The 25501-nt window shown below is 41.0% G+C and overlaps 2 protein-coding genes across 9 annotated transcripts in view, besides 4 other annotated features; both read left to right on the forward strand.

Annotated features, from left to right (window-relative positions):
- NUP107 (nucleoporin 107) overlaps positions 1-16423 on the forward strand; it is a 58832-nt gene extending 42409 nt beyond the window's left edge. For all 4 annotated transcript variants that reach the window (NM_001330192.2, NM_020401.4, XM_005269037.5 and 1 more), the window contains 8 exons: positions 1724-1874; positions 2221-2333; positions 3251-3353; positions 4066-4226; positions 5322-5447; positions 5845-5958; positions 12427-12594; positions 12969-16423. In NM_001330192.2, coding sequence (NP_001317121.1) covers positions 1724-1874; positions 2221-2333; positions 3251-3353; positions 4066-4226; positions 5322-5447; positions 5845-5958; positions 12427-12594; positions 12969-13076 — 1044 coding nt within the window. In that variant the 3' untranslated portion in view covers positions 13077-16423. The remainder of the gene's footprint in view (positions 1-1723; positions 1875-2220; positions 2334-3250; positions 3354-4065; positions 4227-5321; positions 5448-5844; positions 5959-12426; positions 12595-12968) is intronic.
- Positions 16463-17153: an enhancer, noted in NCBI's record as "H3K27ac hESC enhancer chr12:69139629-69140319 (GRCh37/hg19 assembly coordinates)". NCBI's record gives its function as "activates a minimal SCP1, AML or CMV promoter by ChIP-STARR-seq in primed H9 embryonic stem cells {active_cell/tissue: H9 hESC(primed)}" and the evidence as "EXISTENCE:reporter gene assay evidence [ECO:0000049][PMID:30033119]".
- The window catches only part of SLC35E3 (solute carrier family 35 member E3), a 35293-nt gene continuing 26581 nt past the window's right edge, over positions 16790-25501 (forward strand). For 2 of the 5 annotated variants that reach the window (NM_018656.5, NM_001354998.2), the window contains exons 1-3: positions 16790-17393; positions 18544-18654; positions 22646-22804. In NM_018656.5, the coding sequence (NP_061126.2) occupies positions 16992-17393; positions 18544-18654; positions 22646-22804 (672 nt within the window). In that variant the 5' untranslated portion in view covers positions 16790-16991. Of the gene's footprint in view, positions 17394-18543; positions 18655-18689; positions 18860-22645; positions 22805-25501 lie in introns of all 5 variants that reach the window. The other 3 variants (NR_149143.3, NR_149144.3, NM_001354997.3) reach the window with 3 other exon arrangements.
- Positions 17003-17102: an enhancer, noted in NCBI's record as "active region_6643". NCBI's record gives its function as "activates an Ori minimal core promoter by ATAC-STARR-seq in GM12878 lymphoblastoid cells {active_cell/tissue: GM12878}" and the evidence as "EXISTENCE:reporter gene assay evidence [ECO:0000049][PMID:35858748]".
- Positions 17153-17262: an enhancer, noted in NCBI's record as "active region_6644". NCBI's record gives its function as "activates an Ori minimal core promoter by ATAC-STARR-seq in GM12878 lymphoblastoid cells {active_cell/tissue: GM12878}" and the evidence as "EXISTENCE:reporter gene assay evidence [ECO:0000049][PMID:35858748]".
- Positions 17623-17812: an enhancer, noted in NCBI's record as "active region_6645". NCBI's record gives its function as "activates an Ori minimal core promoter by ATAC-STARR-seq in GM12878 lymphoblastoid cells {active_cell/tissue: GM12878}" and the evidence as "EXISTENCE:reporter gene assay evidence [ECO:0000049][PMID:35858748]".

Consider the following 25501-nt stretch of genomic DNA (forward strand, 5'->3'; position numbering starts at 1 on the left):
AATAGACCAGAATCTACATATAATGGATTTATGACATACCTTTTTTTTTATTTTTTATTTTTTTTTTTGAGATGGAGTCTCACTTTGATGCCCGGGCTGGAGTGTAGTGGCATGATCTTGGCTCACTGCCACTGCAGCCTCTGCCTCACCGGGGTCAAGCGATTCTCTGGCCTCAGCCTCCCAAGTAGCTGGTATTACAGGTGTGCACCACCACGCCTGGCTAATTTTGTATTTTTAGTAGAGACGGGGTTTCACCACGTTGGCCAGGCTGGTCTCAAATTCCTGACCTCAGGTGATCCAGCAGCCTCGGCCTTCCAAAGTGCTAGGATTACAGGTGTGAGCCACTGGCCTACCTAGCTTTTTCTTAATTTACTCAGTATTTCTAGGCTATTAATTTGTTTGTGAGTCTTTTTTTTTTTTTTGAGACGGAGTCTCACTCTCTCGCCCAGGCTGGAGTGCAATGGCGCAATCTCAGCTCACTGTACTGTACCCTCTGCCTCTTGGGTTCAAGCATGAATATTTTTCAAATTGTCACAAATCTCCAAAAAATGTTCTAATATATATATATTTAAATTAATGTATTTATTTATTTAGAGATAGGATGTTGTTCTGTCACTCAGGCTAGAGTTCACTGGCTAGATCATAGCCCATTGTAACCTCAGACTCCTGGGCTCAAACAGTCTTCTCCCCTCAACCTCCCAAGTAGCTGGTACTATAGACACGTGCCACCATGGCCAGCAAACTTATTTTTTATTTTTTTGTAGAGACTGGGTCTCACTATGTTGGCCAGGCTAATCTCAAACTCCTGCCCTCAGGGGTGATACTACCTTTTTTTTTTTTTTTTTTTTTGAGAGAGTCTCACTGTCACCCAGGCCGGAATGTGGAGTGTGGTGGAATGATCTCAGCTCACTGCAACCCACCTCCCAAGTTCAAGTGATTCTCCTGCCTCAGCCTCCCAAGTAGCTGAGATTACAGGCATGCGCCACCACGCCTGGCTAATTTTTGTATTTTTAGTAGAGACAGGGTTTTGTCTTGTTGGCCAGGCTGGTCTTGAACTCCTGGCCTTAGGTGATCCGCCTGCCTCAGCCTCCCAGAGTGCTGGGATTATAGGCAAGAGCTACCAGGCCTGGTCTCAAGTGATACTTCTGCCTCAGCCTCCCAAAGTACTGGAATTACAGGCGCAAGCCACCATACCCAGCCAATTTTCCAATATATTTATCGAAAAAAATCCACGGTTCAAACCTGTGCAGTTTAAGAGCCAACTGTACTCACTTTTTGGAATTTAAAATTATTCTGGGCTGGACACAGGGGCCCATGCCTGTAATCCCAGCACTTTAGGAGGCCAAGGTGGGCAGATCACTTGAGCCCAGGAGTTTGAGACCAGCCTGGGCAGCATAGTGAAAAGCCATCTCTACTAAAAAAAAATACAAAAAATTAGCAGGGCATAGTGGCATGTGCCTGTAGTCCCACCTACCCGGGAGGTTGAGGTGGGAGGATCACCTGAGCCCAGGAGACAGGTTGCAGTGAGCCATGATCATGCCACTGTACCCTAACCTGGGTGACAGAGTGAGACCCTGTCTCAAACAAATAAATATAAAATAAAATTATTCTGTTTAGCAACACAAATCCACATCTGTATGAACCTCTCCTGAATACATTTGAAATTTTGAAGTATACTTTTAATTTTATTATTGACATACTTTGATCTTTTTCTATTTTTTAGCTTTTAATAAGAGAGAAACATACAAATCTTATAGCATTTTATACCTGTCATTTGCCTCAAGACCTAGCTGTTGCCCAGTATGCATTATTTTTGGAAAGTGTTACAGAATTTGAACAGCGCCACCATTGCCTGGAGTTGGCTAAAGAAGCAGGTAAAAATGGTTGAAAACTTTGTCTTTTGGCCTTTCTAGGCAAATGTTCATTTTGGCTGTAGTAACATTTGTCCTTATAGTTTTAAATCTTATTTCTGTTGAGGGGAAAAGAGGAATAAAATTTTCAGGGAATTTCTGTTTTAGGACTAAAGTTACTTATGCTGTAACTCATATGTAAAATATCTTTTAATTCTGGCATTTTCTTTTATATAAATATCTTTCATATTTTACATATTTTATTTTTAAGGAATTACTGTTCCAAATTTACTGAATCATTATGACTATTTAGAGAATATTAGTATCAATGATTAATCTTTGTTTTTTGTCGCTTCAAAAAATTATTTAGATTTGGATGTTGCAACAATAACAAAAACTGTAGTTGAGAATATTCGAAAGAAAGATAATGGTGAATTTAGTCATCATGACCTGGCCCCAGCCCTAGATACTGGCACTACTGAGGTAATTTGGGATGGGGGGGCAGAGGTTTCTATAACTTCTAATAATCTTTTATGTTATTCCTTGGTGAACTTCTCCCTTCGTAAAAGAAGTTCTATTAGGTTTTCTTTTTTAAGAATGTGTCTTTGTCAGCCCAGACCTTTTAAATTTAAAGTCTTATGTAAAGGATTACTTATAGTAGTATGTTAAAGGAGCTTCTTTAATAGAAAAAAATCTCAGCTTTGGCTTGTTGCTCATCAGGTTATTTTAAATACTTGATTAATCACTAACTTATGTAGCTTGCTTACTCATATTTTCAGAAAGGAATAGAAAGTTATATCTAAGAAAACTATTTTAGAGTAACATTTAAAGGAATCACGTGGTTAAGTTGGTAAGGCATACAATATATAATTCCAGATTAATATTTTCTATAATTTATTTTTATTTTTATTTTCTTGAGACAACAAGGTCTAGCTCTGTTACCAAGGCTGGAGTGCAGTGGCGCTATCTCTGCTTACTGCAACCTTCGCCTTCTAGGCTCAAGCCACCCTCCCTCAGTCTCCCGAGTAGCTGGGATTACAGGCATGTGCCACCATGCCTGGCTAATTTTTTGTATTCTTTGTAGAGAAGGGGTTTTGCCATGTTGTCCAGGCTGGTCTCGAACTCATGAGCTCAAGAGATCCGCTCGCCTGGGCTTCCCAAAGTGCTGGGATTACGGGTGTGAGCCAGCATGCCCAGCAGTATTTTCTATAATTTAATAGAGAGCTGTTAAATATGAAAATACACTAAGGAAAGTTAGATGCTTTCATAATTTTGTATAACTTGAGAGAAAATGATGTTTACTGGAAGTACAGGTGTAAGTTAATTCTACTAATTTGTAGAATATCTTTAAAAAAAAAACTCTGATATTCCTTTTTCTTTTTTTCCCCTTTAATAAATAGGAGGATCGTTTAAAAATTGATGTAATTGACTGGTTGGTATTTGACCCAGCGCAGAGGGCAGAAGCACTGAAACAAGGCAATGCAATTATGAGAAAATTCTTGGGTATAGTATATTTTTATGCAGCTTCAAACTCCTGGGCTCCATTCTTCTTCCTACCTCAGCCTCCCAAGTAGCTGGGACTACAGGCACCCACCACCACACCCACCTAATTTTTAAAAAATTTTTTCTAGAGATGGGGTCTCACTATGTTGCCTAGGCGGGTCTCGAACTCCTGGCCTGAAGCAATCCTCCCACCTCAGCCTCCTGAAGTGCTGGGATTATAGGCGTGAACCACCACACCCAGATTTTTTATTCTTTTTTAAAACGTTTTTGTTCAAATTCGTGTATTTTTGAATTTGGGGTGGGGGGTTGCTTTTTGTTTTTGATCCTTCCATAGGGAGGAGAAAACCAGCCACTCTTTATCTATCAAACCTGGTATTATGAAACAAAATATATTTTAATGGTGAATTTTCATTGTCCTAATCAATTTTGCAAATAATCTCAAGGCTATCCGACTTTGAAAAATGAATTGCTTTAAGACATAAAAGTATGTAAAAGTAACTGCATTTGATGTATCCTTTTGTGATAGTATCACATTGAGATACGAAAAAGCCAGTCTATCAGGTAGAAAGATCACCAAGACCTTTAACAGAGTGCCTTGGGCCCTGAAATAGTTACAGGTCACTGTAAAATTGGTAAACCAGTGATTTGACTCCTTTAGAAACCATTACAGAGAAGTCCGTAGGCATTCAAAATTGTGTATCTTTTTTCACAGCATCAAAAAAGCACGAAGCTGCAAAAGAAGTATTTGTGAAAATTCCTCAGGATTCTATAGCAGAAATCTATAATCAGTGCGAGGAACAAGGAATGGAAAGTCCACTTCCTGCTGAAGATGATAATGCTATCCGAGAACATTTGTGCATCAGAGCTTATTTGGTGAGACTGTAAAGAAAGCCACAGATGTGCCTACTTCATGATGATTTTTCGGATTCACTCTCAGAGTTTGAACTTTTTTCTAGAAGTAGTGTTGGTTCATCTTACCTCTCTTGTGACTATAGTGCTGACTCATCCACAAGGGGACTGACTTCATGACCTTATCTTCATTAGCATGATTCTCTAATCAATGCTAACCAACCAAGATCATCTCACATGGTAGATAGTGTCTATGATGTCTGGAAGTTATGTTTTCTTAAGATTTTGTGATGCATGTCTCAGCTTTAAATTTCTGCTTTTTTCAATAACTGAGAAAAAGCAAGATGCTCTAGGTTTGTTATGACTAAAATAGCAGCATACTCATTCAAAATTCATTCAAGGCTAGATGCGGTGACTCACGCCTATAATCCCAACACTTCGGGATGCCAAGGCAGAAGCATTGCTTGAGCCTGGGAGTTCAAGACTGGCCTGAGCAACACAGTGAGACCCCTGCATCTCTACAAAAAAATAAAACAAAATTAGCCAGGCATGGTAGCATGTACTTGTAGTCCCAGCTTCTTCAGAGGCTGAGGTGGGAGGATCGCATGAGCCCAGGGAGTTGAGGCTGCAGTGAGCAGAGATCATGCCTTGTCTTTATTAGATCATGTACTCCAGTCTGGGTGACAGAGCAAGGTCCTGTCTCAAAAACAAAAAAAAAATTTTATTCAATAAATAATTATGTAATTACAGTGGGTTAGGTAGTAGGGCCAAATCTGTGGATAGCACCCTATCCTTGCCCTCTAAAAACTAATAGGCTAGTTAAGAAGACAAGTACACATGCATATGTTACAGAGCGATGAATGTCAAGATACATATACGATCAGGGTGCTCAGATTGGAGAATATGCCAGAAAACACAATATATATACCTTGTTTGTCACTTGACAAAACATTTATTCATGATATGAATTTTTGGAGGGAAAAAAATATATATTGAACAGTTTTATTTCTTGATGCTGCAAAATTATTTCTAAGAATCAAATGTTAAAAATGTTGGTGAAACGATAAAAGTGAAAACTTTTGTTATTTTATATTTTGGTTTTTTTATTTCACATTTTAGGAAGCCCATGAAACCTTTAATGAGTGGTTTAAGCATATGAATTCAGTTCCACAAAAACCTGCTTTGATACCTCAACCAACTTTTACTGAGAAAGTGGCTCATGAACACAAAGAAAAGAAATATGAAGTAAGTTAAATATGGATCTAGGATGTGCCTACTGCATCTTATAAATGTGTGTTGTATATTTAAAGAGATCGTTTCTTCAGCAACTATCTTTCGATCATAACAGGTAATCTCCCTGTTAATGTCCTGCTTTGGAAGATGCAATCTGTTTAGTTACTTTTCTGTAGGTAATTAACCAAACATGAAAAATGCCTTCAGGTGACATGAGCGTTCATTTACAAAGTTAACATTTTAGCGTTTTACTTAACTGCAGTCTGTTGATACTTATTTTTGTACTTGGCAGACTGAAACATCAACTCTTTAGAATGATGTTCTATATGTATGTTCCTGTCTGTATTTTCCAAATACATTATTTATTGGGTTTTATCCATTATATGTCTGCCTTGTGTTTGTTTTGCAGATGGATTTTGGTATTTGGAAAGGGCATTTGGATGCCCTAACTGCTGATGTGAAGGAGAAAATGTATAACGTCTTGTTGTTTGTTGATGGAGGGTGGATGGTGGATGTTAGAGAGGTAAGCTGTGTGCATTGTTTATAGCCAAAAACCAAAACACTCACCATGTTCTTTTTTAAAAATATTCTGTCTCTAAATGGGAGCATCTACAGATTTTACATAATTGTAGATATAGCTAAATCCCATGTTTTAAGCTAAACTGAAAATACTACCTAGGGAATGGGAATATTTGATTCTTGGATAAACTATTAGTTCACATTTACTATGTTCACAGAGGATACAAAAATCTAATTTTTAAAAAATTCTGGACCTAAAAATTTAATTATACATGTATGTCACTCCATTTACAGATATAAAGATAACTCGAGTAGTATCAGTAAGGCATAGCTAAGGTAGGGGCTCTCACCTCTGGGCTGTCCATTTTAATGACCTGGCAGACTTTTTAAAAACACTACAGGGTTCCACTCCCAGAGATTATGGTGTAATTGGTCTGAGGTAGGGCTGGGGTTTATTTTTGTTTTTTTAATCACTTGCAGTGCTTTAATATAATATATAGCCTGTGTTGAGAACCAGCTACAGAAGTATCAAGTGCCATAAGAAAGGCACAGGTTAAGTATTTTCTGAGTCCAGGAAAAGAAAAGATTGTTTTCACCTGAAAGGGAACTGGAACGTATGCTTGAAATGTATAGCATTTGACTGAATCTTGAACATACTGGTAGAATTTGGATGAGCTGAGATGGGAGAAAGGAAGGATACTGAGATAATAGTCATATAAGGGAAAGACATTGCAGCCTGACCCTGGTGCATGACAGAAACAGTGAGTAGCTTAGTTTATCCTCTGTAGACCTGAGGAGCTGTCTGAGAGCTGGAAATACTGGCTTCTTGGATATTTGATGTGTTATTTTGAACAAAGAAAACAGTAAGTGTTCTTGGTATCTTTCCTTTTGCCATTCTTCATACCCTCATCTATTTAGTACTTTTTCTTTAATTTTAGCTATTGCATTTTTTTTTTAGCCTGTCTTCTCTGACCAGAAGGAGGAAAAAGAATACAGGCAGGACAGCGAACTAAATTTGAGCCCCTATTTGCCACTATTACTGATGGAGTAATTATCTTAAATGTCTCCACTTTATTTTTTCTTTTTTTGTTTTAGAGACAAGGTCTTGCTCTATCACCCAGGCTGGAGGACAGTGGCTTCATCATAGCTCACTGCAGCCTCAAACTTCTGGGCTCAAGCAGTCCTTCTGCCTCAGCCTCCCCAGTAGCTAGGACAACAAGCACACACCACCATGCCTGGCTTTTTTGTTTGTTTGTTTTTGACACAGGATCTTGCTGTGTTGCCCAAGCTGGTCTTGAACTTCTAGCCTCAAGCTGTCCTCCCACCTTGGCCTCCTGAAGTGCTGCGATTACAGGCATGAGTCAATGTGTCGCCACCTTTTTTTTTTTTTTTTTTTTTTGAGAAAGAGTTTTGCTCTTGTCGCCCAGGCTGGAGTGCAATGGCACAATCTTGGCTCGCCTCCCAGATCCTCTTGCCTCAGCCTCCCAAGTAGCTGGGATTACAGGCATCCACCACCACACCCAGCTAATTTTTGTATTTTTAGTAGAGATGGGATCTCACCATGTTGGCCAGGCTGGTCTCGAACTCCTGACCTCAGGTGACCCACCTGCCTTGGCCTCCCAAAGTGCCTGAGATTACAGGCGTGAGCCACTGCGCCCAGCCAAGTCTCCACTTTTTATCCTAACGTTCGTAATAGAACTCCTTTGACTCGTTTTAAACCTTCCACAGGTTCCTCTGGCAAAACCTTTCTCATCTGATTCATGCTGATTCTCTTGAAGATAAAATTTTAATGTTGTAAAATGCTAATTAAGTGTCACTTAAATTTTGAAAAGACTTCAATGCTTTATTTATACATACATCTTTGCTATTCTAATTATTAATTAAGTAGATTAGGTAGTGAAAGCCACAAAATAGTCTTGGGATCTCATAAAATTAGAGTTGAGGCCAAGCGTGGTGGCTCACGCCTGTACTCCTAGCACTTTGAGAGGCTGAGGTGGGTGGATCACCTGAGGTCAGGAGCTTGAGACCAGCCTGGACAACATGGGGAAACCCCGTTTCTACTAAAAATACAAAAAAATTAGCCTGGTGTGGTGGTGCATGCCTGTAGTCCCAGCTACTAGTGAGGCAGGAGAATGGCCTGAACCCAGGAGGCAGAGGTTGCAGTGAGCCGAGATCGTGCCACTGCACTTCAGCCTAGGTGACAGAGTGAGACCCTGTCTCAAAAAAAAAAAAAAAAAAAAAATGGAGTTGAGATGGAAGGCAATGAATGATACACCATTTTGTTTCATCAGGGATTTTAAAATCAATATTCAGTCTCAATTATTTCTTTAAAACTTCAGTCTCAATTATTTCTTTAAAACTAATCCAGAAAAGAGATTTCTTGAACAGTTAAATGATTAATAACATTTTAATCACCTTTGTTGAGCCTAATACTCTTACATAGTCAATGACGTAGGGCATTGTTCAAGGCCCCTGCTAACACGTGTCACTTGTATGTGAATTAGAAAATTGTAATTCTATCTGGGAACGGTGGCTCATCCCTATAATCCCAGCACTTTTGGGAGGCCGAGGAGGGCAGATCACGTGAGGCCAGGAATTCGAGACCAGCCTGGCCAATATGGTGAAACTCCGTCTCTACTAAAAATACAAAAAATTGGCCGGGCACGGTGGCTCACGCCTGAATCCCAGCACTTTGGGAGGCCAAGGCTGGTGGATCAGAAGATCAGGAGATCAAGATCATCCTGGCCAATATGGTGAAACCCTGTCTCTACTAAAAATACAGAAAACTAGCCAGGCATGGTGGCACGTGCCTGTAGTCCCAGCTACTTGGGAGGCTGAGGCAGAAGAATCACTTGAACCTGGGAGGCGGAGGTTGCAGTGAGCCGAGATTGCGCCACTGCACTCCAGCCTGGCAACAGAGCGAGACTCTGTCTCAAAAATAAAAATAAAAATACAAAAAATTAGCCGGGTGTGGTGGCTCGCGCCTGTAATCCCAGCTACTAGGGAGGTGGAGGCAGGAGAATCGATTGAACCCAGGGAGGCGGAGGTTTCAGTGAGCCAAGATTGCGCCACTGCACTCCAGCCTGGGCAACAAAGGGAGACTCCGTCTCAAAAAAAAAAAAAAAAAATTGGAATTCCCTTCCCTTACATAGATAGGTTCCATGGCAAGTGCACACAATATGTAAGACAGAACACAGGCTAGATTTCAGCCCCACTTACTTGCTTGGCCAGCCACCCTTGTACAAGGCACGGCTGTACACAATAGCCCTAGCATTATGTGCTGTTTTCGTATAGCTACCCCTCAAGTTTTTAAATAACTGGAATAGTCCCCTTAGTGTTGGGGCTGGTGGCACAGAGGAATGGCAGAGAGAATGGAGCAGGCAGGTCATCTTTACCTACCTTTCACTACCTCTACCTCTAGCACATTCTAGTCCAAGCCTCTACTGTCTTCCGTGGCTTCTCACTGTTCTTTATACAATCGTTCCTTATACAGATGGACTAGTGACCCTTTCAGAATAAAATACATGCGACTGTCTTACCCAGAACTTTCTGATGCCTTCTTATTGCACTTGGAATAAAATCTTTCTTTTCTTGATGTACAAGAGTATACATACTTTTGTTTTGTTCTTTTTTTTTTAAACTAACCCCCTAATCTTGTGTCCTACTGCTCTCCCATCACTATATCCTGGCATTCTGGGCCTCTTCATTGGTTCCCCTCTGCCTAGAATGCTCCTTCGCCAAGATAGGTGCATGGATGACTTTGTACTTCTTTCAGCAGCTGCTCAAATGTCATCTCTTTCAAGAACCTCTCCCCAACCCAACCACCCTATTTAAAATAGCATGTATGCATGTGTATACACACACACACACCTGTCCCTTTTAATCTCCATATCCTACATTAGTTTTCTTCATAGCACTTAGCACAATCTGATATAAAACATATTAATTTATTTGCTTTTTGTATGTCTACCCTCATTAGAATATAACCTTCATGAAGGGAGTAACCTTGTTTTCTTTATTTCTTTGACTCTGGCACTTAAAATAATGCTGAGCACATGGGAGGCTTTCAGTGGTACTTAGTAAATGAATGATACTGCATTACTGAGGTGAATGTACTGTCTTCAGATTAGGAATAGCTGTAATATCAGTTCCAATCAACTCTTGCTATCAACACATATTAGGTAATGAGTTTTTCTCACATGTAAGGCACTACATGGGGGGGCGCGGTGGCTCACGCCTGTAATCCCAGCACTTTGGGAGGCTGAGGTGGGCAGATCACGAGGTCAGGAGATCGAGACCATCCTGGCTAACACAGTAAAACCCCATCTCTACTAAAAATACAAAAAATTAGCCGGGTGTGGTGGCGGGCACCTGTAGTCCCAGCTACTCGGGAGGCTGAGGCAGGAGAATCGCGTGAACCCGGCAGGCGGAGCTTGCAGTGAGCTGAGATCGCGCCACTGCACTCCAGCCTGGGCGACAGAGCGAGACTCCGTCTCAAAAAAAAAAAAAAAAGTGGAAATATCCCTAGTGGAAATAATCCGTCTGTTTTACATATTTACCGGCTATTTCAAAGCTTTTGTTCATTCAGATGAGAAAAATGTCTTCAGTTGTAGCAGAGCTGTTTATTTGCTTTTCCTTGTAGCAATTTGCTGGGTCTGTCAGCCATTACCCTGGATAGTTGCTGGCAGCCCGCCCGCTAGTATCGGAATTCATTATAATTAGCAGAAGAGATTGTCTGCAGCACACTCTGATATTATGGCAGCAAAAGGATTTAGTAAAAGCAAGTCTGGGTCCATCCTGTGAGATAAGAAAGTAACCTGCTGCTTTTCGGGCAACAAGGAGTCAGAAGCCAGGGGCACCCGGCCTCTTTAACATAGACAGAAAGACTACATTGGAGCACAAATGGAAAGGTCCAGAAAGAAGCAGTTCTCTTATTCTTACTGGGTTCTAGGTTGGGATCACTAATATGAATTACAAGTAAAACCTTGAAGCATTTTAAATCCACCTCTGAAGGTAGCAAGTATCTATTTGAGAAAAGAAATAAAGGTGCTTCCCTTGTAAAGAAGCACTTTAATATTTGCTTTTATGTATTTATGCTTCAAACAAGACCAAAATATTGATAGTAATTTTTCCTATGTTTGGAAACCTGACCTAGATTAGCCCAAATTAGTACAATTACTCCTTGGTATAATTACCAGATTATACTTTGTTGTTGATTAACCCCTCCACTTACATGTCCATTTGAAAAATGTTTTAGCAATTTAATATAGCCTCTCACATGAAGATACTTTTAGGTATTCCATTAGGCTTTTCAAAGGAGCAGTTATTATTTTAGCTTGTCCTGTTTTTTTTTTCTACACTATTAGTGCTATTGATTTCCTTCCTATTTTTAAGATTATTTCAGAAATTGTAGTGTGTAATTTCTGTAATCCCAGCACTTTGGGAGGCTGAGGCAGGAGGATCACTTGAGCCCAAGAGTTCGATACTAGCTTGGGCAACATAGGGAGACCTCATCTCTACAAATAATAAAATTATTTTTTTTTTTAAATAGAAAAATTAGCCGGGCATGGTGGCACATGCCTGTGGTTCTTAGCTACTTGGGAGGCTGAGGTAGGAGGATTGCTTGAGCCCGGAGATCAAGGCTTCAGAGAGCCATGATTGTACCACTGCATTCCAGACTGGGCGACAGAGTGAGATGCTGTCTCAGAAAAGAAGAAAAAGGTTAAAAAAGAAAAGAAAAAAAAAAGAAATTATGTGGTTGGTTACTTTCTAATTATTTTAATTTTCAAATTTTTTGTAAGTAAATGTAGTGGGCATAAGAGGTTTACTCTTTTTTCTGTACTTTTACTGTTCACATCGATTTTAAGAAAGATCCATGTATGTATAAAGGAATGCCAATTGTTTTTTCTGCTTGTTTTCCTTATATATCTGTTCTGACTCATTAATTGTATTATTCAAATCTATAGGTTCTGTTTTTCTGTTTTTAAAAATTATATAAAGAAATTATAAATTCCATTTTCCATGTGTATAAGCAAAGTAGTCTGCAATGAAGTTGACCCTCCCTGTGTGCCCCTCCCCACATCGTCTTTTTCCCAGCAACAGTCATTGCTGTCAGTCTGTTGTGTCCTCTCAGGCCTCCTTAGAGCTATCTTTATTTATATGTATAAACATCCAAAGGAGTGGTGATTGTTTTCTGTTCTGATTTTTGCTCTAATGATATTCAGTTTCCAACTCATTCTTTTTATGCATGTTTTTATTCAGGACATAGTAAGTTTATTAGAAATACAAATGCAGAAGCATTTTATTTTCACTGTCATACCTCTCTGTAGTCTACGTTGTTCATCTTCATACTTTTTTGCTGTTAAATCTTGTCTACCAATTACATTCTGGGTTTGATTCAGTACCTGGCTTTTCTTTTTGTAAGGATCTTTAGCTTAAATTGTTAAAATGATTTATTGATGTCTGTTTGTAGGATGCCAAAGAAGACCATGAAAGAACACATCAAATGGTCTTACTGAGAAAGCTTTGTCTGCCAATGTTGTGTTTTCTGCTTCATACGATATTGCACAGTACTGGTCAGTATCAGGAATGCCTACAGTTAGCAGATATGGTATCCTCTGAGCGCCACAAACTGTACCTGGTAAGTTCTAGAGCCTTGTAGTTTTAAATTTTAATGATTTGATATGCTCTGTAGTAATATTAATTTTGTGAAGATGTGTTTACATTTGTAATTGCTCTTGGATTTTCTTAAAGTAATAGTCCAGTTTTAATGTTTTAATGTTTGTACTTTTTTCCCAAAATGTGTGTATATTTGTAAGCAGTTAGAAATATATAGACTGACTCTGAGAATTCACCTTGAAATTCCTGAACCACTCTAATTTACTAGGCTCTGGCTACATAAATCTTAAAGAGGCATTTCTTCTTATATGAAGCTAATCAGATCGATTAGGTAACTAAGTTCATACTTGTCTACTTGTCTTTGTTCTCATTCTTATTTCTCTTTTTAAAAATCAGGTATTTTCTAAGGAAGAGCTAAGGAAGTTGCTGCAGAAGCTCAGAGAGTCCTCTCTAATGCTCCTAGACCAGGGACTTGACCCATTAGGGTATGAAATTCAGTTATAGTTTAATCTTTGTAATCTCACTAATTTTCATGATAAATGAAGTTTTTAATAAAATATACTTGTTATTAGTAATTTTTTCTTTTGCATTACCATGTAAAATTTAGACATTTGAATTTTGTACTTTTCAGAATATTATCGTGACACTTTCAACATGTAGGGATATCAGCGTTTCTCTGTGTGCTTGTTAATAAAACTATATAAAAATTAAAATTTTCTGTTTTTACAAATTCCAGGGTTGTCTCTTTTTCATGTAATAAGAAAATTAAATTTTCTGTTCTAGTTTTTTCTGTAATCATAAGCATTCTGATATTTTAAAATCATAAAGATGATGGAAAGTAGATTTATTTTTAAGCCAGGTACGTAATTTTTTATTTATCATAAAATTTAGTATTTTTGAATATTAAAATTAAGAAGATGACTATAACAAGAATTTTTCTAACATAACATGCTATTATTATTTTAGTTATTTTGAAGACATTTCTAGTTTAACTTTCATTTAGCAAACTTCCTATCAAAATAAGAGCATATAAAGACTTAGCGTAGTACCTGGCACACAGTAAGCACTGAATATATTGGAGATTACAGATCCCGCTCTTCTAATAGGGGAAATACCATAAGTACATTTAAAAGGTGTCATTTAAAAATACAAGTAGTGGCTGGGTGCAGTGGCTCACGTCTGTAACCCCAGCACTTCGGGAGGCCGAGGCAGGTGGATCACCTGTCGTCAGGAGTTTGAGACCAGCCTGGCCAACATGGTGAAACCCTGTCTCTACTAAAAAAATACAAAAATTAGCCGGGCATGGTGGCAGGTGCCTGTAATCCCAGCTACTCAGGGGAGGCTGAGGCATGAGAATCTCTTGAACCTGGAAGGCAGAGGTTGCAGTGAGCCGAGATCACGCCACTGCACTCCAGCCTTGGGGACAGAGCGAGACACTGTCTCCAAAAAAAGAAAGAATTACAAGTAGTCTGAGCAGGAAGAACCTCTCTCCAGCTGAAAAGACTCTCAGGAAGTAGTATTGGTTTGGGGTTTGAGTAATGCACTGAATTTGCAAAGGCAAAGAGTGACACAAGAAGGATGAGGCTCTATAGATTAAGAAATCAGTATGAGCAAGAAATGATAAATGCTGGGCATTATTATGAACCAACAAATACACCAAATAGGCTAGAGTGTAGGGCTTATAAACAGGAGACAACTAAAAGAATGTGATTCTAATAGAAAACAGTAATTCCCCAAACTTGCTAATCATCTAAGGAATTTCTTGAATATGTATTTATAGATGCCACCCCTAGAGACAGCTGGCTTGGGAAGCCTGAGATGGGATCATAGAATTTGATCAGTTCTATATTATGTGCTTTTTTTGTTTTATTTCTCTAAAGAATTCATCTTGTCTTCCTGTTTTCTTTATTCTTACTAATATGCAAATGATTTTTACAGCTCATGCAGTCCTGTAATCATGATTATTGCTATGCTACTTTGCAAAAAATAAAAACAAAAAATTCATACCAAAACAAATACAGACTAGATTTGGGGTGGGGAGGGGAAATAAGTGAGTCTTAAAAGTAGTTTTGTTACTTGCAACAAACTGTATATATAGAAACTTTGTACAACCCAGGGTGACTATTTCCAAAGACTGTTACCTATTTGTTGAACAACAGTGGGAAAACTACTTAGCCTAAATGAGGAGGAGGAATATTGTATGCTTCCATCGTAACCGTATGTGGGTAAATGGACAAGGTCTGTCATCTATTTAGGAACTTGTTTTGCATGTCCCCCACTCTGTATTTGTCTTTTGTTGTGCCTTGTTTTTTGAATGTCCTTTAAAAAACACAGCACAGAAACCCACTAAGGTTGTGGAATTACAAAATTCCTTCAACCTTAGACTCTTAATTAGGATGCCCTCAAATGGACTTGTTTTTAATTTTTATTTATTTATTTATTTTTGAGACATGGTCTTGCTCTGTCTCCCAGGCCGGAGTGCAGTGGCATGATATCTCACTGCAAACCTCCGCCTCCTGGGTTCAAGCGATTCTCCTGCCTCAGCCTCCCTAGTAGCTGGGATTACAGGCGCCTGCCACCACGCCTGGCTAATTTTTGTATTTTTAGTAGAGACGGGGTTTTGCCATGTTGGCCAGGCTGGTCTCAAACTCTTGACCTCAAGTGATCCACTCGCCTCGATCTCTCAAAGTGCTGGGATTACAGGCATAAGCCACTGCACCCAGCCAATTGGACTCCTTTGAGTCCTTAGGGAGTCAATGTGTGTGTTGCTGCTTATTTAAATACAGTTCAGTTGGAGCCCCAAGAGTGCCAATGTGCTCCTCACAATTCCCAAATGCCTCTCTTCCTGAACACCAGAAGTGGTGGGCACCTGAGTGGGAAATTTCAGGCAACTTAATTTAGTTCCTCAGTGCCTACTCTTGAAGAACTGGGTTTTCATTCTAGAGAGGAAACTCAGGGAAGGGCGTGTTGCCTATCACAGGTTCGCATACTAAGTTTTAAAAACTTTTCTTGGTGTGACTTATGCCAAGGAATTATGAAGACTTTTTCCTTGAGCATTGCATGAAGGCTACAAAGTTGGAACAGGCATGTCCTGGGTGTGAAAGTTTTAATTTCCCTACCTCATTTATTTATTTAATTTAGAGATGGGGGTCTCACTATGTTGCCCATCCCGGCTTCCAACTCCTGGGCTCAAGCAATCCTCCCACGTCAGTCTCTCAAATAGCTGGGACTACAGGCCCACGCCACCATGCCCTACTTCCTCATTTATTTTAAATTTTTTGTACCACAGTCTCTCTTTTTAATTTTATGACTGCTGAATTAATCCTAGACTCTGTCTTAAAACTAAGAATTGATGTATTGGCAGGAACAGCTGGACATTCAAGATGTTTTTGTGATTCCTTTTTTAAAAATCTCCTTTTGTACCTGTAATATCTACAATATATAATCTTTCTTTATCGACTTAAGGAGGAAGGAGAAAGGAAGAACCTGACTTCTGTGTGAAGGACCTTACTGTCGATCAAGACTGTTACTCAAAGTTCTATCTCTTAGTCATTGCACCTGACCTGATCCAAAACATATATATATATTTGTATGCACCCCTAGAGACAGCTGTATATATATACGGTTTTGCCAGGTTGTACGTTTTTTTCTCGAGTTGTAAGTGAACACAGTAGCACTCGTTTACATTGTCAAGGGGACATCTTTAGAGAACACATTTTCTCACTGTTGAGCTAATAATGCTTTGTGAATGTATGATCTAAGGAGAAACCCTTGTAGTTATACCCGATGATGCTGTCTGTTGGAAAGTAAATTTTGAATGTCTTTTTCCAAAAATAAAAAATAAAAACATGCTTTCAATAAGTTCTTTCCCCCCTCTGGCGAGGGCTACTAAATTTGCTCAGCATTTAATACGTAAAATTGGCTAACAGTGTCTGCACAGCCAGAGAGAAGTTGTCTAGCAAATCGGGTCAATGACACACAGGAAACAAACATCAAGAAAGGGGTCCTAGATTGGTCCAGTCAGGTAGGCGTTAGGTGACCAAGGGGGTCGGGGACCCAGAGGATAGGACCCAAAGACGCAAGCGTCGCGCGCCCAAGGCTCAGCGCGCCTGCGCAGGGTAGCGGCCGTTCAGCCAGCGGCTCGGGGGCGGAAGCACTGGAGCCCCGAGTCACGTGGCTGCGGGCGGAGATGAGCGGGGCGTGGGACGTGCTGCGGCGTCCTAGCTGGCTTACAGGGCGGCGGCGGGGTGTGTGTCCTCTGTTAAGAGTGCTACTCGCCCGGGGTTGATCTGTGCATGCCACTCCTGGGTCAGACGGTGAGGTCGGCGTCTGCGAGGACGCGGCGGTGGAGTAGAAGGGCAGCCGGAGACAGGCCCGGCGCCCCTTCCGAGGCTAGACGGCCCCAGCTTCGCGGGGATCATGGCATTGCTGGTGGACCGAGTGCGGGGCCACTGGCGAATCGCCGCCGGGCTCCTGTTCAACCTGCTGGTGTCCATCTGCATTGTGTTCCTCAACAAATGGATTTATGTGTACCACGGCTTCCCCAACATGAGCCTGACCCTGGTGCACTTCGTGGTCACCTGGCTGGGCTTGTATATCTGCCAGAAGCTGGACATCTTTGCCCCCAAAAGTCTGCCGCCCTCCAGGCTCCTCCTCCTGGCCCTCAGCTTCTGTGGCTTTGTGGTCTTCACTAACCTTTCTCTGCAGAACAACACCATAGGCACCTATCAGCTGGCCAAGGCCATGACCACGCCGGTGATCATAGCCATCCAGACCTTCTGCTACCAGAAAACCTTCTCCACCAGAATCCAGCTCACGCTGGTGAGTAGCTTCAGCTTCCCAAGGCGCCGCTCTCCCGACCCACCTCCTGCACTGGCCCCGGGAAATTCGAACGCACACTGGTCTTTCCCTTCATCTTGAAATCCACAAATGAGTCATCTGTGGGCATGTGAACTTTTAGGCTTATTTTAGGGAGGGGGAAAAGGCCATCTTGTCAGCCCAGAAGAGTGGGCATGTGTGAATTTTAGTAGCTGCCATTTGATGGAAATCGTTAAATGCTGTGATCGATAAGAAAAAAAGCTGTATTGGGTGGTACAGTCCAGTGTTATCAGAATATCTGCAAAAGCTCAAACAAAAACAGCCTTTCTCCCCCAGGGGAATCAAATCGTGTATGATAAAACGTGAAAAGATGTAGCATAAAGTAGGTCTCAAAACGTCTGCAGCACCATACTTTAGAGCTGTCTGCATCTTTAAATAAAAGGAGGTGGACTCAATTTTAGCACTTAGTAACTTATTTAAGGTCTTTTTCTTTTTTTTTTTTTTCTTTTTGAGACGGAATTTCACTCTTGTTGCCCAGGCTGGAGTGCAATGGCACGATCTCGGCTCACCGCAACCTCCGCCTCCCGGGTTTAAGCGATTCTCCTGCCTCAGCCTCCCGAGTAGCTGGGATTACAGGCATGCGCCACCACGCCCGGCTAATTTTGTATTTTTAGTAAAGACGGGGTTTCTCCATGTTAATCAGGCTGGTCTCGAACTCTGACCTCAGGTGATCTGCCCGCCTTGGCCTCCGAAAGCGCTGGGGTTACAGTGGTGAGCCACCGTGCCTGGCCTTATATTTAAGGTCTTTATGCTTTTATTGTTTTATATTTATGCTTATGCTGTTTAGACACTAGTTTGGGGATCCATTTACTCACCTTTGTATTCATGTGGTATTTTCTTGCAAAGTGCAATATATTTACCACAAATTTAGAATGGAATTAAATGTGAATATCAATATAGATTTGTCATATTTCACGTTTAGGAAATAGGATTAACAACTAGTTTTCCCAAGTCAAAACAGAAAACATTTATACAGGTTCATTGTTTCCCAGTTATGTGTTTATCATTAGCCTTGTAAGACATTGTGAAAGGAATACTAAATTTTTGTCTCTTGAATTTAATCTGAACAACATTTACCTCTTTTTCGTTACAGATTCCTATAACTTTAGGTGTAATCCTAAATTCTTATTACGATGTGAAGTTTAATTTCCTTGGAATGGTGTTTGCTGCTCTTGGTGTTTTAGTTACATCCCTTTATCAAGTGGTTGGTAATTTTTTTTTCTTTATGTGCCTTTTTAGCAGATTTCATAAATTTTGAAGCTGTATTCCAAGGTTTAGAAAATACAGTATAGAGACAATAGACTGTTGGGAAGAAAGCATAATTGCATAAGTTGTCTGACTCAAGGTGAAGAGAAGAAAGGAGACAGAGAAACTTGGGTGTGTGATGCTCACCAAATACCTACCTGTTTGTAAGTGTATAATATCCATGCTTAACAGTCTCAGCTTGGGGTGAAGTTATTTTCTGGGAAATCTTTACAAAATACCTAGTAAGACTTTTTACTTCCTAAGTTTGTTATGTTTTCTGTTTACTCTTTACTTTTAACATTGTTGTGAAGGAGTGAGTATACTTCCAGAAATCTGAACAGTAATGAAAAATTTCAGATTTTTAGATGTTTTTGCCTCAAAAATTATACTGCTGTTACAACTTGTTTATTGGCTTTTAATAATGTGTCTAATATAGATTATTACAATATTATACTCTATATTAATAAATATAGAGTAATTTATATTAATGAATATTTTTCCATTTGTGCAAGCGCAGTGCCTTGCCTATAGCAGATATTCATTAAAAATATGTTCATGGATTCACTTACTTCATTACCATAAAATCCTAACAAGTATGGTTTTTGATTCTTATTTAGTGGAGAAAAAATAACTTGCTGTAGGGGACAGTGAAACGGTATTCTCTCTATACTGAAAACCTTGGTCTGGAAATTCTGGGTGTGCCTGCATGGGGAATCAAAGCCAAAATGTGTAACCAATTTTATTTTTTTCACAAACATCCACTGGTTATTAAACTAAGGCATTCTTGTTTGAAATTTTAGGAGTTCAGTAATAGAGCCCTGGCATCTTAAACATTCTAGTAGTGATCATGTCAGAGACAGTATTTGAAAATATTCTGCAGTGAAATACATTTTCTAGTGGCAGAGAAGCAGTTTAAATAAAAGAAGAGGCTAGTGAACATTCCTATTCATCTTTCTTGTTAAATGCACTTGTTTTTGCCTAGTATAGGCAATTTATTAAACAGAGCAAGTAATTGTACTCCTTATACGTAATAGATTCAGAGTACTCACCATCTCTGTCACTATGACCATTTTTGTTCACACAAGTCTCAAAATTGCTATAGATTAGAATCAAAGGATTCTATATCCCTAAGGTAGATATTTGACATGAGATTGACCAAGGAATGATTGTAGATTAATGGACAGTTTCTTATCAGTAAGTGGTAAAGGTACCATTACAAAATAGGTATATTCCCAAAACATTCCTCTTAAAGAAAGTTGTATCTGCCCACAGTATCTTGGGATAATTTCTATGTTGTTTCTCTTATACTGCTGGAGACATTAAAAGGAGTTAAAAGACAAGTGACCAGCTATTAGCTTGAGTTGTAGAAAGATGGTTGACTCATTCATTCGTTCAGCAGACATCTTTTCTGCATTATGTTCACCCTTGAGGATACAAAGATGAAAAGCAGCTACAGTCCAGCAGTGTAGAAACACAAAGAGACAGCTGGTCACAGTAGCATATGTACCCCAAGGTAGGAGGAAAATTCTGAGGAACACCAAGGAGGAAGTGGCAGCTCTTAAAGAGGGGCGGTGAGGTAAGACTTTACGGAAAAGTTAACAATTTAAATTGAAGGGCACACAGAAATGAGCTCAGCAGGGAAGGACAGCTGGTCTTTTCCTTGCAGTGTGTGTGAAAGTCTGGAGCATTTTTGGAGAACTTGATTTGTTTGGTGAGGCTAGGCAGTAGGTGCATTGTGAGAAGACAAGGCTGAGGAGTGGGTGATACCAGATGTCAGGGTCGTGAAGCCATGCTAAGGAAGTATATCTTTATTGAGCACGCACCAGGAGAGGAGTTCAGACAGGGACTGACTTGATCATTCCCCTGTCTTTAGAAAAGTAACTGATGGCAATGAAGGGTGGGTAAGAGGGAAGGAAGGGTAAAAGGCAGAGCAGTCAGGAACCTACCTGTACTTCACAGGACAGGCAGGAAGGGCCTGGGCTAGGGCGGTGGGAATGGACAGGGAAAGGTTAAAAGGCACTCCAGGGGCGTTTTGGGGAACATAGGAGAACCTGACTGAATGTGAGAGAGAGGAAAGTAAGGCTCTGATCCCTGAGGGAGATTATATCATCAATTATTGGAAACACACAAGAGGAGCCCATTTGTAGAAAAAAGGCACCAGTTGATTTTAAACAAGTTCCTGCAGATTATATAAGTAGAGATGGCCAGGAGACTGGCCAATATAAGGTTAAGGATGCTCAAGCGATGAGGGAAGAGCAGTAGATCTCAGCAAATAGTAAAAGACATCAGTCAGGGCGATGAAAGAGGAAGGCAGGCATCTGCCTTAAAAACTGTTAAGTGCAGGAGGCAGTGAGGGAGGAGTACAAACCAGAGGGTAGTTCTTCCAAGCAAAACTTGCAGGTTCTGCAAAGAGGGCTCGCAGGAAGGGCCACAGGGAGTCTGGACATGTCCATGGAGATCATAGTGCCCTTAGGAGAGCATTAGAGGGGTGGTGGCAGGAGCCAGGCTGTGCTGCATTGAGGGACAGTGGAGGCCTGAGAGCCCCTGCTGTTCCAGGCAGTCCTGTGGCGAAGACACGCGGCTGCCTGAAGAGGCTGCAAAAGGAAAGGCAGGTGAGCACACACCCTCTGTATCCGTTTTTGCTTGCTGCTGTGCCCCAAGGAGCAGGCAGCAGAAGAATCAGTTCTTTGTCCTTCATATTCACAGAGGACTCTTAGTTAAAGCTGGCAGGAGTATGGTTCAAATTCCCTGCTCTTCTATTTTTGTCTTGATGGATTTCTATAGACTTAGAGTTTATGTAACAAGATACCCAGACCTACAGGAACAAGAAGTATGTAGAAGTCATTCAAAAGCCTAGCTGTTCTTGCCAGATCTGATCCAAACAGTCCTGTTAAATCTTCTTCAAAGCCTTTTTTTCAGTTATATTTGTGAAGTATTTTGTGGACGAATGGGATTTGAGGTCTTGAGATGTTGTTTCTACTGAATGGTATGGTATTTTAGGGTTAGTGATTATCCAGTGTATCTAGGTGTATTGGTGGGGGATGAGGAATAGTATCCACAGAAAAGTCATCCAGAGAGAGGAAAATCTCTTCTACCATTGATTGGGTTTTCCAAAGCAACTGACGAGACCACATACCTTTTCAAGCCACACACATTGGCAACCATCTCTAACCTGCCCCCATGCCCCATTGTCATCGTGTCCCCCCAACCTCTGTCTTTGTTTTTTTTTTTTTTTAGACAGAGTCTCACTCTATCACTGAGGCTGGAGTGCAGTGGCGCGATCTCAGCTCACTGCAACCTCCGCCTCCTTGGTTCAAGCGATTCTCCTGCTCAGCGTCCCGAGTAGCTGGGACCACAGGCGCCCGCCACCACGCCCAGCTAATTGTATTTTTAGTAGAGATAGGGTTTCACCATGTTGGCCAGGCTGGTCTCGGACTCCTGACCTCAGGTTATCTGCCTGCCTTGGCCTCCCAAAGTACTGGGATTACAGGTGTCAGCCACTGCTCCTGGCCCCGGTCTTCCATTTTTTAAATTTTGCCATTTTTAGAAAGAAATGAAGTCCAACACTGCATCTGTATTCCTAATCACCTGAATTTCTATTTCTCCCTTATTTTCCCAAGATCTTTTATCCTTGTAGGCCCTTATATGCATTTATTTTTCCCTATTTACTAGGATCAGGTAGAAGGAAATAGAGGACTTTTCTCCTCCTTCTAAGAATTGAGAAGAAGCTAGATTATCAGAAATTAAATTTATAGAGCTATTTTCATCCATGGTGCTTAAAGGGCATTCATATAGCTTACTGGTCTTTGAAATCTTGTAGAATAATTAGACATTTTATCTTCCCCTAGTCTATACCCCACATTCCCATCTTTGTGACTCTAGTTGTCGCATCTTTGATTATGTGATACTATTTCTTTTGTGCCAGACATGTTTTATCTCCTAATTTTCAGTGGGTAGGAGCCAAACAGCATGAATTACAAGTGAACTCAATGCAGCTGCTGTACTACCAGGCTCCGATGTCATCTGCCATGTTGCTGGTTGCTGTGCCCTTCTTTGAGCCAGTGTTTGGAGAAGGAGGAATATTTGGTCCCTGGTCAGTTTCTGCTTTGGTAAGTTCTAATTGTTTTGATATCTAAGAAACAGTATAATAATAACTCCTCCATTATTAATGTAATTTTTAGTTTTCAGAGCACTATGTCCGATCCATTCTCACATTTATCGTCATAATCACCATAAAAGGAGGTAAGGTAAGGATTCTTTTTCAGATGAAGAAATTGAGGTACACAAAGGTGAAGGGACTTGCCTAGAGTGAGGCAGCTACTCAGTGGCAAAAGCAGAACTACAATTAATGTCTTCCGATGCCTGGTTACTGTTCTGACCATGTCAAGCTAGAGCCCACAAATAATTTGGACATTTAGATTAAGTTAAATTTTTTTACAATGAAAACATAGCTTTATAATCACTATTTCGATTTTGAACATACGTAAAAATATAAAGAAAGTGAAGGGGCCAGGCACAGTGGCTCACTCCTGTAATCCCAGCACTTTGGGAGGATGAGCTGGGCAGATCGTTTGAGCCCAGGAGTTTTAGACCAGCCTGGGCAACATAGGAAGACCTCATCTCTACAAAAAATTAAGAAATGGGCAGGGTGTGGTGGCTCATGCCTGTAATCCTGGGAATTTGGGAGGCTGAGGCGGGTGGATCACTTGTCAGGAGTTCAAGACCAGCCTGGCCAACATGGCGAAACCCATTCTCTACTAAAAATACAAAAAAATTAGCTGAGGCTGGGTGCGGTGGCTCATGCCTGTAATCCCAGCACTTTGGGAGACCAAGGCAGGCAAATCACCTGAGGTCAGGAGTTCAAGACCAGCCTGGCCAACATGGCAAAACCCCGTCTCTACTAAAAATACAAAAATAAGCCAGGCGTGGTGGCACACACCTATAATCCCAGCTACTCAAGGAGGCTGAGGCACAAAAATCACTTGAACCCGTGAGGTGGAGGTGCAGTGAGCTGGGATCACACCTGTCTCAAAAAAAAAAAAAAAAAGAATTAGCTAAGTGTGATGGCATGCTTCCTGTAATCCCAGCTACTCAGGAAGCTGAGGCATGAGATTTGCTTGAACCTGGGAGGTGGAGGTTGCAATGAGCCAAGATTGTGCCACTGCACTCCAGCCTGGGCCACAGAGCAAGACTCTGTCTCAGAAAAAAAATAAATAAATAAAAAAGCCAGGCATGGTGGCACATGCCTGCAGTCCCAGCTACTTGGGAGGCTGGGGTGGGAGGATCACTTGAGCCCAGGAGGTCGAGGCTGCAGTGAGCCAAGATAGCACCACTGCATTTCAGCCTGGGCAACAGAGTGAGACCCTGTCTCAAAAAAAAAAACCAAACCAAAACAACAACAACAAAAGAAAGTGAAGGGCCTCTGGAACCCTATCACACTAAGGTAATTACCTTTACCATTTTGGTGAGGATCATTTCATGGATCTCTTTTGTATAAACACATAGGTACACATGCATGTGTGTATAATTTTAGATATGGAATGATATCATAGATGCTGTTTTTATTGCAGATTCCTTTTCCCCAGCCTTCCTAGCCACACACTCTTCCACATTCCATTACCCCCTAATCTTCCACATTCCATTACCCCCTAATCCGTGCCCCTTGAAGTCATGTTAACTTTCTAAGTGCTTGTTCTTCCATATTTTTCTCCATGCCGTATATATCCATACACACACACACACACACACACACACCCCAATTAAACATCTATTTCTTTTCTTTTTTTTGAGATGGAGTCTCACTCTGTCGCCCAGGCTGGAGTGCAGTGGTGCAATTCTTGGCTCACTGCAAACTCCGCCTCCCGGGTTCAAGCGGTTCTCCTGCCTCAGACCCTAGCTGGGACTATAGGCGCACACCACCACGCCCAGCTAATTTTTGTATTTTCAGTAGAGATGGGGTTTCACCATCTTGGCCAGGATGGTCTCAATCTCTTGACCTCGTGACCCACCCGCCTCGGCCTCCCAAAGTGCTGGGATTACAGTCATGAGCCACCGTGTCCGGCCACATCTGTTTCTTTGACAAAAGTGGAATCCTATTACATATGCTTTTCTGTATCTTGCTTTTCTGACTTAATAATATCTCCTAAAAATCTCTCCAAAGCATTCTTTCCAGGGTCTATTTTGTTGTTGTTGTTGTTTTTGTTTTGTTTTGTTTTGTTTTGAGTCAGAGTCTCACTCTGTCACCCAGGCTATAGTGCAGTGGCGTGATCTCTGTTCACTGCAACCTCCACCTCCTGGGTTCAAGTGATTCTTGTGCCTCAGCCTCCCGAGTAGCTGGAATTAGAGGTGTGCGCCACCATGCCTGGCTAATTTTTTTGTATTTTTGATAGAGACAGGGTTTCACCATGTTGGCCAGGCTGGTCTTGACCTCCTGACCTCAAGTGATCCACCCACCTCGGCCTCCCAAAGTGCTGGGATTACAGGCGTGAGCCGCCGCGCCCAGCCGGTGTCTGTGTAATAGCCCCTCTGCATATTCACTTTTTTCCCAGTTCTTTACCACTATGAACAATATTGTGATAAACATCCTTGTACATCATGTGTTCTCATGTACTGATAACTTTTTTCCTATGGAAATGAGTCCCAGGAGTGGAATTGGCAAATCAAGGGCATATGTATTTTGGGGACTTTTATTTTTTAGAGACAGTGTCTGGCTATGTTGCCCAGGCTGGCCTCAAGCTCCTGAGCTCAAGTGATCCCCCCAACCTCAGCCTCCCAAGCAGCTAGGACTAATGCGTTGGGGACATTTT

Source organism: Homo sapiens, chromosome 12 (assembly GCF_000001405.40).
Source record: "Homo sapiens chromosome 12, GRCh38.p14 Primary Assembly".
Classification (NCBI taxonomy): domain Eukaryota; kingdom Metazoa; phylum Chordata; class Mammalia; order Primates; family Hominidae; genus Homo; species Homo sapiens.